This window comes from Homo sapiens, chromosome 3 (assembly GCF_000001405.40).
Source record: "Homo sapiens chromosome 3, GRCh38.p14 Primary Assembly".
NCBI lineage: Eukaryota > Metazoa > Chordata > Mammalia > Primates > Hominidae > Homo > Homo sapiens.
The window spans coordinates 186,090,154-186,105,046 of record NC_000003.12 but is presented as its reverse complement, the minus strand read 5'-3'; the positions used below and the strand labels follow the sequence as shown (position 1 = coordinate 186,105,046).

Here is a 14,893-nt window from a genome sequence, read left to right as displayed (position 1 = left end):
AAGCTGACTGGGCACAGTGGCTCACACCTATAATCCCAGGGCTTTGGGAGGCTGAGGCAGGTGGATCACTTGAGGTCAGGCATTCAAGACCAGCCTGGCCAATATGGTGAAACCCCGTCTCTACTAAAAATACAAAAATTAGCCAGGTGTGGTGGTGGGCGCCTGTAATCCAAGCTACTCAGGAGGCTGAGGCAGGAGAATCACTTAAATCCAGAAGGCGGAGGTTGCAGTGAGCTGAGATCGCATCACTGCACTCCAGCCTGGGCAACAGAGCAAGACTCCATCTCAAAAAAAAAAAAAAAAAGAATATTGCAAAGCTTTAAGCTCAAAATTATAAATTAACTGACAAAATATATTTGGTGTTAGGCCAAGCATCTATTAATCACACATTGTTTTATGGCTTTTTTGGGGTTTGTTTTATAAATTAAGTCCTTGATGTGAATCATGAACCTGATATTTCTCTTTTTCTTAAAGGTGCAGAAAATAGTTAATGGAAAACTCCAGTTAACTTTGGCTTCATCCAACATGTTGTCAATTTTGTCTCTACCCCTAAGCTGACAAGGGGTGGTCACAGAGTGGCCTGATTTACTCTTACTTTTCGTGTAGTTGCTGTGGCTTTTCTCTTCAGAGAAGAGAAACTTTTTCTTAAAATGGCCACTAAGTGCTCATTACTAGAGAGAAAATGCAGTGGGAAGCTCAAAAGATGGCTTTCAACACTGGCAGGGGCATGGTTACTTTGCACTGATCTTTTGGGGCTGTCCTCAACAGGTTTGGGAGCTTTTATGGTCTAGGCAGAGTTATGAAGGACAAAGCCGGCTGATGAAATTTGAGCAGCACAGGGCTGCTCTAGAGAGCATTAGTCACTGGCGAATGAGCAGGTTTAAGAGAGGCCTGGAGAAAATGCTGCCTCTCTTGAGAGTTGCATCATAGAGAAATTCATGTCTCTTAGTCATAGTTTATAATAGCAAGCACCTGAGCCATGCAAGGACTCAATTTCTCATTTTGGACCAACAGATTCTTCCCAGCTTTGTTTTATCTCTGGGTAGGTGGGTGTATGTGTGTAAAAATGCCACTGGAGAGAGAGTATCTTAGGTCTCTCTCTAAGTAAAAAGTTGGGTATTCCAAATCTTTTAAATGTAAGAGCAGAGGTAACAGCTAAACATTCCTTAATGATAGGCCTCATGTCCAAGGCACAATGCCATGAAACTGTAAAAGGGAATAAACTGGAACACACACATGCATGGTTACCTTAGCTTTGTCACAGCTTGCTGTGGATGTGTTCTATGGGAGAGTAAATGCATGTTAATTATTGCCCTTTGATTGCTTTCGAGTGATTGGGAAGCTTGCCACTGAAAGACTAAATAAAGATAATCCAAGTGTGTGTGTGTGTGTGTGTGTGTGTGTGTGTGTGTGTGTGTGTGTGTGTTTGCAAGATGAAAGACAGGGTTTGTAATCCAACTTTGTTCTGTGTTGACAATTTGGCCCAGCCTTTCCAGTTCTTGCTCAGAGCAGCATAAACTGCAGTCTGTTTGGGAGGTGGCTTTCTTGGCAGAGGTTCTTTGAAATGCTTTTATGACACTTTTGTTTGTTTCTCTGTAACCCAAAAGAGTTAAAAGGGAGATGAGATGGCTGCATTCAAATTGATTGCATGTGCTGAAGCAAGGGTATGTTCTTTGTCAGCAAGCAGGATTTATATTTGGAGAGATATTTATCTGTGGGAATAGGCTAAAGTGAAGAAATCAATAAATGTGTTTTGGCTCTTTAGAAATAATTTCTGCTCAGCAAATAGAATGTGCTAAGTTCTTTAATTAAAATTCCATACCTCAAGTGGAGGTAATTTGGGAGATGTTTCTGCTTACCAAGTATGATGTTTTTTTTACTTTGCTTACTTTTTGTTTTAACTGCCTAAGGTTGAGCCTTTCTGTCTTTTAAGGATAAAAGAGATGGTTGACTAGCCTAGAAAAGGTCTTCTAATGATTCTTTCCCTCTGACTTTATTTCTTGAGGTAGAGCTTCAAGAAGGGATAGATTCAAATAGAATAACTTGCTTAAGAAGCAAGGCAAGAACACAAATGTGGGTGGTGCATCTTTGAGCCATTCATTCTTGCAAAAGCAAGTTTGTTTGCCTGCAGTTCAGACCAACAGCCAGAAGCATGAGGAGGAGCTGGCAGAGCCCACAGCCGGCTGCATGCACTTACTTTTCCATGAGCGCTTTCCACAGCCTCGAGTTCAGGACCAGCTTCACTCCAGTCATTTTCTGGAAGAGCTCGTGATTTTTTTCAGGGGAGGGAAGAAAACTCATTCAAATTTAATGAAACCTTATGAGTTGGTTTGACTCACTTAACCAATGAATATAAGCCAAACTTAGATTTGCCAGGGGAAAGCAAACCTTTTTTTTTTTTTTTTTTTTTGGAGAGAGAGTTTTGCTCGTCACCCAGGCCAGAGTGCAATGGCGCAATCTCGGCCCACTTACTGGGATGTCCACGTCCCAGGTTCGAGCAATTCTCCTGCCTAAGCCTCCCGAGTAGCTGGGATTACAGGCACCTGCCACCATGCCTGGCTAATTTTTGTATTTTTAGTAGAGACGGGGCTTCACCATGTTTGCCAGGCTGGTCTTGAACTCCTGACCTCAGGTGATCCGCCCACCTTAGCCTCCCAGAGTGCTGGAATTACAGGCGTGAGCCACTGTGCCCGGCCTGTAACAAATATTCTTACCAGTGGCCACTGGTAATACACTTTCCTATTAATAATGATTTGATAATTTTCCATTGTATATGTGTAAATTTATTGTATACATGAAAGAAAGAGAAATACTAAGAAATGTAGGTAATATTTTTATTTTGGAATGTCAGTTTTAAAGATTATGGCTTTTTTTTTTCTCTAAACACTAAAAGTTCAACTTCTAAAGAGATTATATTTTGTAAGTTTCTTAGAATTGGGTTTCCTGCCCATAGGGATACATCCTTAAGTCTGATTTGAGTGAATGAAACCATTGCTTTTATATCTTATAGAAATGCCCAGCTTACTTCTAGCTGTACAGATTTCACCTCTACCTCACACATATAGATATCAGTAAAGCATGGAGACTCTGAAAGGTCAAATTCAAGGGAATAGAAATCTATAGATCATAGGGATTCTACCAGTGGACCTCATTGTCCCTTGGTCCTAAGAAGTAACTCTGAAGATCTCAGATTGCTTGAGTTGGATGTCCTTTGTAGAGACAAGCTTGCCCAGCCCCCTCCTTTCACAGCTATTCCCAAATAGCTGAAGAGACTGACCAGTAGTGGGGGCAGATGGGAAGGTTTAGGTGAAGTAAGAGGAAGATGTATAAAATAATATTCTTAAAGAAGCTCTCACAAAGCTGCAGAGCCAGGGAGTAGTGGCATATTCAAGTGTATTCAGGGTCTCCATTATTTCAGATACCTGGAGATGGTGTTCAGGAAAGCATCTGGGAGGCCTCTGGCTGTCCAATTCAGCACTCACTTCTCTTCCTTCTATGATCCTGAGAAAGTTACTCAATACCTTCATGCTTTGAGTTTTTCCATCTAGGATTTGGAAGACAGAGAGTAATTATAAAAGAAAAAAATTATAAAAAACTGACATATTTAGGCTCACACCTGTAACCTCAGTGCTTTAGGAGGCCAAGTCGGGAGGATCTCTTGAGCCTAGGAGTTCGAGGTTACAGTTGAAGCGAGTAGTGATCACACCACTGTACCCCAGCCTAGGTACCAGAGCAAGACCCTATCTCTAAAAAACGAAAACAAAAGAAAACTGCCATGTTTCCTAGAAGACACCTTTCGTGTGTATACAGATAAAACTGTGTACATATTTCCTATATATGAAAAAGTGTTTGTGCATGTGTATATATCTATGTAACTGTGTATGTAGCTAAATGTGTACCTTAACACATAGAGCGGCTAAACCAGGGAATCTGGGTCAGTGCATAGATGTATGTACATATTTACTACACATTTTCATAGAACTAACTATGCCATGGATAAGATTGGAACTCAAGAGTGTTTCAAAGTCGGGGTAAGGTGATGTGTTCCATTCATTTTTCTGAACTGACTGGGTACTTAAAGAGTGTGTTACTAGATTTTAGCATATATAAATAGCAGTTTTTTAAATATACATTTTGGGTCTGATTTTTAATCTCACTTATTAATTTCAGTTATGATATTATAAATATATACCTGTTAGCATCTTGAATAACTAAGATATTTTATGCTGAGTAGAGAGCATGATAAAAATCTTATTTCAAAGTCATGGCCTCCATACCAAATACAGCCTAGAGAATTGTTTTAAGATCCAAATGACCCCATTTTCCCCTTGAAGTGTTCTTTTTAGATCTGTGTTTCAAAGAGAATGGAACAACTGGAGGAAGTACAAGTAATTTCCTAAGGACCAGCTAATTAACTGATAAAATCGACTTTTCATAAATACATTGCAATAGACGGCTGGGGAAATAGGATTAACTGTTATGACAGCCCTTGAGCCTAAAACACATTGATCTTAATCCTGTTTCACGATGAGATTATTCAGCTGGATTTCTTTATTAATGTGTGAGTTTAGTACAGTAGAGGCAGTGCCTTTCCTTTGGAGAGGGTACATCATTTTGGTCTTTGGTCCTAGGTGTGGTGTAGCAAAACACCACGTTTTCTTGCTTGGGCCACCTCTATTCAAAAGGATCATCCTAAAGTCTTTTTGTTTGGCAAGGTAAGAAAGAAAACAGTGGGCACTTTAAAAATAAGAGGTTTGAGGGAAAACAAGGCCATTGGTTTATACTTTTCAGGAATCAGTAGTTCTGAAGGTAGAAAAGAATGCTGATGAAAGCGTGAGGAAAACATGGAGGAGAGATTCTTTGACTCCAGGTTTTACAGTGTTACTTTCAAAGTGTTTGTTAGTTAGCCCAGTACCTTACTGCTGGGAGGGTGCTAAATGATTTGAAATCCTTCCTGTTTTGATAGCCTCAAAGATTCTTAGACTCAGTATTCTGAAGGACCCAAGACCTACAGTACGCATTTACTTAAAGGAGCCATCTGTTTTACAAAATCTGCTTTCGTCTACCTTTAATTCAGTTAGGCTTATTTAAAACTGAATTTTTCTCTTACCCTTCTGTGTCTCTGCGCTGTTAGTCATCTAACAAAACCCAGTAGGCTTACCAGTCCTTTGTATTTGGTGAGAAAGATTTGGGACGGGGAGTTACATCTGTGTCAAGATCACTTGTGTAGGTGCCAGAAGTAACAAAATCCTGGCATCCATGAAGAAATTACCATTTATCCCCTCCTCTTTCAGCATTCTTCAGTTTTACAGGAGTAAGGCATGGGTAGCATAATGAAGCCGAAAATGTGTACTGTCTCCCATTTCTACCATCTAGTAGTATCATTGTTTTAATTTCAGCCCTAGAAAAAAATGTTTCTTGGTGGTGGGGTGGGGTGTGTGATTCTCTGCCGAGAAACTGTTCCCTCCACACATTTCTTGGGTTTTAGTGGTGGTAAAGTACATCCAGCCTCAGAGGCTGACAGCCCCCTCTCGGGCATACGGCTGCCCTTGAGGCAGCTTGGGCCCCATCTGTGCCCTGGCACACAGTGCTTCTCCACTTGGAATCCAAGGAGCTCAGAGGCTTGTCATGTTGCAGCTCCCAGCTCTTGGACAAGTGCCAGGCATGCTGATGCCATTACCGGATTAGGTTGCTTTTTTAAAAATTCATTTTGTGAACTCATCAAGCTCATTTAACAGAGGCTTTGGTCGTCAGTTTCTATCATTGTCCTATCCCTCTAGGCTTGGCTTAAAGGAGTGGCAAGATACCAGGCCCCTAGTATGTGCCGGCACTAGTTAGAGTGTGTATGTATAAATTATAACCATAATGTAAGTACACCTTTGGGCCTGGCAGGCAAATGACAGTGGGTTAGCAACTCAGATGTTAAAGGGAAAAGAATTCCCCGTAAGAGGACTCTGCATAGAAAATAAAGGGGGCTCCCTTGTTTAAAAAGAAAGAAGCATCTAGGGGAAAATTGAAGCAGAGAGTGCAAGATTCCAGGGAGCAGGATAAGATCTAGTTATTAAAAGGCCAGGAGTTTGAGGCTGATCTGAACAGCCGAGGCATGGAATGGGGATTCTGTGGTCAGAAGGACTTCAGAGAAATGCTTCCAGTGGCACTGAGTTCGCTGGAGGGGACATGAGGGCAGGCAGTGAGAAGAAGCATACATAAGACATTTGAAAATAGCCAAATATGTGATGAAAAAAAGGAAACAACCATGAGCTAAAATTTATCTCCTGGATTTGCTTTTCATAAAGAAGTATGCTTTTCCTTGAAATAAAGTCTGGTTGTCAGACGGGCTCCATCCGCTTTCCCTCAGGGTGATTATTGAAGGTTTGGAAAAAATATCTAAGAAGCAAAGCCAGTTTTTTTTGCCTTGTACTTTGCAAAGTCTCGGCGTAGATTTCACCCTCCAACCTTAGATCTCCACATTCTTCCCTTTTGATGTCTCATGAGCATTCAGGAGGGTATTCTGAACTCTTCAGGCTGGATCCAAAGCCAAAAAAGGAACTGTGAAATTGTCTTAATAGGTAGCTTGTCCCCTCCTCTGCAGCCAGAAAATCTGGTAGTGTCTCCAGAGCCCTCCTCCCCTGGGGAGGAAGCCAGGTGGCTCCCGATGTAGCTACCAGCAGTGAATGGGAAGGAAGGTCTGGAGAGGCAGGCTTCCAGAGAGAGTTGTGCCCTAATGCAAACCAGCTCACCCTGGGGCAGGAGAAATACCACTGAAGTCTGTTTCTCTCCGCTGGTAGCTACAGCCAGATTCTGAACCGAGGGGCACATGATAGTTTTTCTTTTGCCTTTCCCGTTTTGCCAGAGGGCACTTTCTGACCTTACTTCTAGCGGACTTTTGCACAGCCTTGCAGATTTCCACAAGGGTCTTGGCCATTTGAATCCTAGGAAGGGTGCACAGCAGGCAAGATCCCCTGCCGTGTCTGAATTTCTTACGTAAACACAGCGTACTGAGCGAGCAAGCGTCCCTGCGGCGACAGCTGGGCGCTGAGCACTATTAGGTCTGCCCCAGCTAGCAGAGCTGCAGATTCCCCCTCTTGCCTGAATGGAGCATTCCAAATTGGTTGTGAATGGAGGGCGGGGCTCACTTGCAGACTTTTTCAATGAATAACCAGACCCCATTGTGCAGCCCGTGGAAAAACAACCAACTCAAACAACACTGGGACTGTTAGAAATATGCTTGTGATTGGCAGCTTGGAGAGCCTCCAAAATTAGTTTCCTTTGGCTTCCCTGCTGCTCCCTGTTCTCCAAGCCTGGGCTTAATGGGGTTTGAGTTTTCTTTTAAGTGCTCACTTTAACCCTTAAACTGCCGGGCTGATGGCCTGGGATTCTGGGGAAGAGCTGCCGCTGACCCACAAAGCCAGTGAAGCCCATTCCCCTTTCTTTGTCTCTCATTTTAGACTGTAGCTGTCTAAAGGGCGTGATAATAAGAGGAGAGGGTGGTTTAGCTTCCCCTGGAGAGGGAGGTGTTGAGACTTGATCTGAGGCTGTTAAACCCTTTTATCTCCTTCCCGTGGGGTTGTGGCTTTAGCTCCCCATTGAGGATTCCTGCCTGCTCTTCTCTGACCTCCCCTCTACTCCAGGCCTGAATAGCCCAGGTGTTTACCTGCCACGACACAGACACTTCTTGCTTAGGCTTACAATTTTAACACAGGGGGAGACAAAGTTGTAGTTTTTCTACTCCTTTGCCTTCACTCCTGTTTAATTTTCCACTGTGGTCAGATAAGTATTTTTTAAACGACCGTACTCAAACTTCTGGTACTGAGCAATGGGGGAACCTCACTATGGCTGTAAACCCTTCCACTGGACACTAATCAAATGCATTGCCTCCCAAAATGAACATCCTTGGAAGTACCAGAAAAACCCAGCCTCTGAGCAACCCCCAAACCAAAGTAGCCTCATCATGCCAAAACTAGGCCAGGTTTTAAGGGTGCACGTGCCTCAAAATAGCATCCAGCCTTGATTGATTGATTGATTAATTGGCCAAGCGGGTGTGCTGGGGGTGGTCTTGCTGTGTTGCCCAGGCTGGTCTGAAACTCATGGCCTCAAGCAGTCCTCCCACATAGCTGGCATTACAGGTTCGAGCCACCACACCTAGCTGCTTCCACACTTAAACATCCTCCAACATCTTACCTGGTAGCTCACCGGCAGCTCACAGACACACGTCCAGTGTTCTCTGTGGGATAGCCCAGGGATGTATGATGAGCATAAAAAGGACAATCAGTTAAAAGGCAAAACAAAACTTAATAGTAATGATCCAGAGCAACTTCCTCAGGATTTTAAAGAGCTCTTCTTAGTTCCTACTCTTCATCCTCACAAACTTAATAAGGCAGTTTGCACTTGTGTTTTGCCTCAAGGATTTTTTTTTCCCTTGCTGTAAGTTGGCCTTGCAAGCATGCCTTCCCTTCCCTATTAAAAAAAGAACAGGCCTGGGCAGATTGTCCTTTTGTGAGAGAGTTTGAAACCTCTCAGGAGGTAACCCTAGATATCAGCTGTGTAGGAGGTTGCTGATATCTGTGTTTCTCCAGAGGGGCTGAAAAGGACTTCGCTTACATAAACACTTTCAGCTGAGTGCCTGGAAATGCTTTGTAATGGCCTGCAAGAGCACTTAATGAGGGTCTTTTATACTTTTCCCATAGAAAAGGTAGAATAGAAGAGGGGGGGATGTCTCTTTCACATGGTCACCCACAGTAAAGGCCGGATCCTGGAGCCTACCCCTAGTTTCCTCATCTGAATTTTAATAGAGAATAATTGAGGGGGGATAACTTTGCTGTGCTGAGGGATATCTCGACTCAGAAAATTTCTGCTTCTCCTCAACTCCCTCTTCATTTTTTTTCTTCCCCAGCAGCCATGGAATTTTATTTCTTGCGGAAGAAGGTGGAAACAGCATAGGGTTTTGGGAGGTATTTAGTATTTTGACAACTAATAATCATAGTCCCTGCTTCCCCATTTTTATGCCTATTGAAACAGGAAACAAATCACATTTCTTAGGCTCCAAGTGTCTGCAGAAGCAGAGGAGCCCTGTCACGTGTTTATGTCCCGCCTCGGCCACAGCGCCTGCTCTGCGCACTGTGGACACCTGGTGCATACAGCCCGCACACCACCGCATTCCCTACCACATGCCCTTCCCATCCCAGCTGCCCCAGCCTCCAGCTGGTGGGGAAGTAACACTGTAAAGGGTCTCAAACCCAGAGTTCTGAGTCCTTGGGATGACCTTCTAGATAAAGAGAACAAAAGCTAGTTAGGGCTATTTCTCATTTTCTGTTTCCTCTTTTAAACACATACACTAGCCAAGTGTTGCTAGGCTGCATTTAGACTTTGAGCAGCTAATGCTATGTTTCCCAGTAAGACTGCATGTGCTAGAGAGCAAGTCACAGTTTAGGCACCCTTGACGTACTTGCTGAGTTTCTGCTTTTAGGAGAAGTGGGGCTATAGATAGAAGGGAATGGTTCTGGGGGAAGAAACTCATTTCCCTAGGGTTTGGATTTTCTCCTGTCAGATTTTAAGGATGAATTTTCAATCTGAAATTAAAGATAAGATTTTCCACAGTGCTTAAATCCTATTTCAAGTACTGTTAACATTTCACTTTAGTGCCAGTGTGGATGAGAATTATGTAAGTTGGGAGTAAATTATAGAAGGGTTGTTAAAGCTTAAGGTTTAGTTTTGCAATTTTTTTTCCTTTCAGGAAAAATGTCCTGTTTCCCCTTATCCTGATTGCGTGATCCAGTGTGAGCAGCCCTTCATGATAAAATCCACTGTGGTTGATGTAAGGTCACAGTAGAGGAAGCCGCCCTGTCATCTCTAATGAGTTGGGAGAACAAGGGTTTCCTTAGACCTCTTTCTCAATCTTGAAAATAAAACCAATAGTTGTCTATCATATTTCTACAGGTTGAGTATTAAAATTCTTTGAAGAGCTAAGCTGCCCAAGGAAAGTAGTAAAACACTGATTCAAATAATGCTCAGAATCCTCCTTTGGTGTAATCCTGCCAGTCCCTCACATTTGTATGCTGCTGGTCTCTTAAGCATGAAAGTAACCAACATGCCAGCTCTGTGGCTGTAGGTCTAAAAGAAGCCTATGGTAGTCGAAAGGGGGCGGTGCATTAGAAGTCAGAAGAACCTCTTGTTTTTATCTTGACTCTCCTGGAGTCAGTTCCGTACTCACAAGCATGTTACTTGACTGTTAAATGCTTTGGTTTCTCCACATCCCACAAGTTCTGAGATGCGACACTCTTATGCAATTAGAAATATTCATCCTGTATAAAATATTTTTAATGGAAGAGCCCCGTATGTGCTAATACTTGAGCCCTACTTCAATCGAAGTTGGTCTAATTCTTTTCTCGTCTCCTGACCTTTAATTTCTAACGCTGAAATTCAAGGCATCTAGGTTTCCATTTTTGGCGTTCTAAAGTAACAATCCTAAATTGTTAGGCTAAATGAGTCCTTTGAAGAAAGGGAACTGTACAAATCCAAGCTGTTTCAAGAAAAATGCTGAAGTGTAGAAAGAATATGAACTTAAAGGAAGTAAATCTGAAACTAGTTCATCTGGGTCAAAAAAAATCACTCTACTACCATTGGCATTCAGTTTTCTTCCTTATTTGATAACAGAGGTTTTCTGTTTGGAAATTACTGTCTGCAAGAGGCAATTTTGTCCCGAGAATAAGATGCAGCTATTCAGTGATAGATAATCGTTCTTACCCACAGGTCACCATCTATGAATCAGGACATTGCTGATTTAGTACTTTACACCCGTGGACGGAAGGCTCTCCTCCCATCCGTGACCACTTCTTTTGGGAGGAGGAGCAGTGACGAAGCATTAATACAAAGAATTTCTTTCCTTGTATTTTAGCCAGAGTTAGAATAGAAATCTTTACAAATCACCCATATCATTCGCTGATAGAAGTGAAGAAAGGACAAGACCAGTATCCCAAAAGCCAGCCCTCCTAGTTGATGACCAAAGGCATGCCTTGCCAACTTCTCTACCCTTGCAAACTTGCTAGTGCCCCATAGGTCACCTTTGATGACTCTTTTACTCCAAAGGCCCGCAACAGGTCCATTGCCTTGAGCTCTTCCCTGGGCCTTCTCAGCCTTTGGAGAGTGGGAGCAGCTTTCAGCCTCATGCAGCAGAAAAGGTAGACAGTGTTCAGGACCACATTTGCTCTTCCTAGCCAAAGCTATTGCCCCACCCCATCTTTCCCCCTGTCTGTCCTTGAGGACCTGGGTATCATCTTAGACTTGATCACATTTCTTCTCTCTGGAAGGAGTAAAGAGGTAGGGCAAGTCTTGAGCTCCCCCCGGAGTTTGGAGTGCCCCCCACACTTGGGCCGGTCAACCTGAGTTGTACTGTCCAACCTGTGGGTTACAATTACATGTTAGACAGTAACCTCCCAAGCCGACTTCCATGGGCAGAATTTAGTTTTTGTCTTCTAACCAATTGTATTTCATCTGGGTATTTGATTGCCAGATACCCTGTGCTGGTTCTGCTCTCTGGCTGCTACCATTGCTGTAAGCGGCCATGTGAAATGGGGGATGGGAAGGAGGCAATTGTTTGCTGAATGTTGCAATCCTTGAGCCATGCTTAGCAGAAGGAAACCTTTAAACCACCTCCCCTTCCCCAGGTTATATGAAGCCACTAGATAATATAAACCTTATAGTTCAAATAATGAGATTTTTAACAGTGTGAGAATGCTCCCAACTAAGGCCCTTTTCTGTAAAGTGTAACCTCCTTGTCTAGTCATTCCCCCTTCCCACAAAGAAATTAAAATTCCTTTGTAAGTATAAAATCACCATTTTCATCTTTCCCTGCTTTTACCCCTAGCCAGACGGGCTTTGTTCTGGGGTCTGCTAGAAGCTACAACCTGGGGGTCCCCTAAGCTGGAATTGCTGATATGCTGGATTTCTCCATTGTTGAATCTATCCTGTATCTCATATAGCCCACATTCCAGGGAGCAGTAAGGGCATAAAATATCATAACACTGGTCTTATACAAACACTTGACTCTCCAGAACTCTGCAAGGTCTTGTCTTCAAAGCACCAGTTCTATATACAGCCAGCATTTCCCCCAGAGAAAGCAATGTTCTACAAGCCCAGTACATGATATGTGTCACAACCTAGACCCATGTTGCTATCGTCAGCTCGAGTGCATAGCAGAGACTTAGGGTTATCTGAGGTAAACAAGCAATGGAGGAGAGACTTACAGAGAATGGCCTCATGGTCTTAACTGCTTCTCGGTACCAGTTCCGTCATCTATTTTAAAACCCAGGTTTGAGGCTGGGTGCAGCGGCTCAAGCCTGTAATCCCAACACTTTGGGGGGCTGAGACTAGAGGATCATATGATGCCAGGAGATTGAGACCAGCCTGGGCAACATAGTGAGACCCCGTCTCTTTAAAAAAAAAAAAAATGTAGCTGCGTGTGGTGGCAGGCACCGGTGGTCCCACCTACTCTGGAGGCTGAGGCAAGAAGCTCGCTTGAGTCCAGAAGTTGAGACTACAGTGAGCTATGATTGCGCCATTGCTCTCTAGCCTGGGTCACAGAGCAAGACCCTATCTCTAAAAAAACAAACAAAAAGAGGTAAAATGAAACCCAGGTGGGGAAAATTTTATCAATAACTCTTAATTCCTGTATTCTGGGAGAAATTCCACTGTCTTTGCAGGCAACCTCTTAGAGATGTTTCAGATACCATTGTCTACTAATGCTATTTATACATTTTCAAAGTTGGTTCAGTTCTTTTCTAAGCTCCTTTTCTTCCCTTTAGTTTCTAACTTTTATATTCAAGGCCTTTGGATTTCCATTTTCAGAATTCTAGAGTAATCTTCCAGTGTCCTTAATAATTGTGTTTCTGCCACCACACTTAGGAACTGAGAGTGGGCTTTCTGGAGATAGTCTCTATGCTGCCTTTCAAGCAAGGTGCCTAGCATTTTTTAACATGGCACTCACCAACAAAATTCCTCAGCTTGCATTTCAAAAATCTTCCCCAAAAGGTCTTGGCTCTTGAATTTCCAGACACTTGATACAACCTCATCTACTCTCATGAGCAAGAAAGGTGTCTCCTTCCCTCACTTCCTTTCCCACTGTGGCAAGACTTGGCTCTAATTTCATTGGCTGCTATTACATCCTGGTATTTCTAGCCATTTTCATGCAAGGCCATCAAAACTTCAAAAACTTGAATCTGGATCTTAGGTTGGTCTTATTCCTATACCAATGTAACCCTAACCCTATTTTTTGGATATGTCTTTCCCATAGTCCATGTCATGATAATACATTCAAAGCCTTTTATTTTGAGCTGATTGTATTACCCCAAGTTTCTAGGTCTAAATCAGCAAGAATTGAGTGTTTTGTTTGTTTGTTTTGTCCACACACCAGTTCCTGAAGCCTCTCTTCTGCTGACTGTAGTTTTTTTTCCCACTGCATGGGAGAAATCTGATTCCTGAAGCCAAGTGTTCCAGGAACTAGCTTTACCACTCCCTAATTTGGCTCTTGCGTTATTTATTGTACAGAAGATGATAATTGGCCTTATAGGAAGGGATTCTATTCTGTAACTGTTCACTGATGAATTCTGCTATCTCATGGTTGATCTGAGACCCTGGAGCCCTGAAATATACCACCAAGGTGACAGTCAGTCCTTTGGTTCTTGCCGAGACATATGACAAATAGCAAAAATACCCCAGAGTCATCAACATCATAACTCCCTTCCACCACCATGATTAATTGCTAATCTAAAGTCCTGAATACTATACAGCTGTGCCAGTTCTGAAGCTTCTTTCCCTGTACCTGCTAATAGCAAACCCTATCCCAAAGCACAAGCACAAAGCACAAGCCTTACTTTCTTCATGTGGGACTTTGCCCAGGACAAATGCAGCTGTTCTTGCAGAATGAGCCTGCCCTGAAATCTCAGCCCCTGCATGTGGTATGGCCAGCCAGTTGTTGGCTTACCAGGTGTTTGTCATGTCCCCTATGAGTCGTATGGAGGGCCTTGATTCCACACTAAGGTCCAGCTGCCATTCTTGGTTCCTAAGACATAAAGGCACAGGGGATTTTCCAAGCCAGTGTACTTACTTCAACACAGTTTAGGTCTTCAGCCCCGTGTTCCTTTTTATTAGCCTGGTAAACTAGGCTGAACAGTTGGAGCCCCCAGGCTCAGAGCAGCGAAAGCATAGGCCACCTATTTCCAGCTTCCTCTCGTCCTGATCCCAGCCCTGCTCAGCATTTAGGGGTAAAAAGGGCTAACCCAAGCTGCTTATGAGGGAAGAAAATGAAGGAGAACCATAAGAAAGAGAACTTCAATTCTGCCAACCTTCCCAGGTTGGTGATAGCTGCCTTGCACTCTCTGGAGGACCCTGGGGATGAAATCGAATGAGTTGTCCAGCTGTTCTGGACAACCTATTTGTCCTAAACGTGTTTTACATATAAATTCACAAGGAGTGGAAATTCTCCATTTTTTCTCAAGAATCGTTTGTGGTTGACTTGGGCATATATTTTAGTTCCTGTTATAGATGCATTAATATGAATATAGTTACTGATAGGTGTTATTTTTGTTGATCATTTTGCATTTGTGTAACTGCTATCTTTTTACCCAGGCAGGTTGATGGAAGTATTAGCAGGCAGTAGTCACAGTGACAGCAGTGGCTGTTTTTATTTTGCCATCTCTGGAGTGTTCCCTTGTCCTTTCTAAGTGGGCCAAAGCCAACAAAATGTGTTTGAGAACCACTGGCGTAGACATTAGGTATGACCAGCATATATCCTTGTGTAAGGCTAGATTCCCAGGGCTGTATTATCCTTCCAATTCAGTAACAGGCCAAGGGTGGCTTTCTTCATTTGTCGACGTATGGTTTTGAGGTTCTAAGCATT

General features: G+C 43.0%; 1 protein-coding gene across 1 annotated transcript in view, besides 1 other annotated feature; it reads left to right on the top strand.

Annotated features, from left to right (window-relative positions):
* The window catches only part of ETV5 (ETS variant transcription factor 5), a 62,776-nt gene that overhangs the window by 4,043 nt on the left and 43,840 nt on the right, over positions 1-14,893 (top strand). The gene's annotated exons all lie outside the window — the stretch shown is intronic.
* Positions 6,948-7,461: an enhancer, noted in NCBI's record as "NANOG-H3K27ac hESC enhancer chr3:185815375-185815888 (GRCh37/hg19 assembly coordinates)". NCBI's record gives its function as "activates a minimal SCP1, AML or CMV promoter by ChIP-STARR-seq in naive H9 embryonic stem cells {active_cell/tissue: H9 hESC(naive)}" and the evidence as "EXISTENCE:reporter gene assay evidence [ECO:0000049][PMID:30033119]".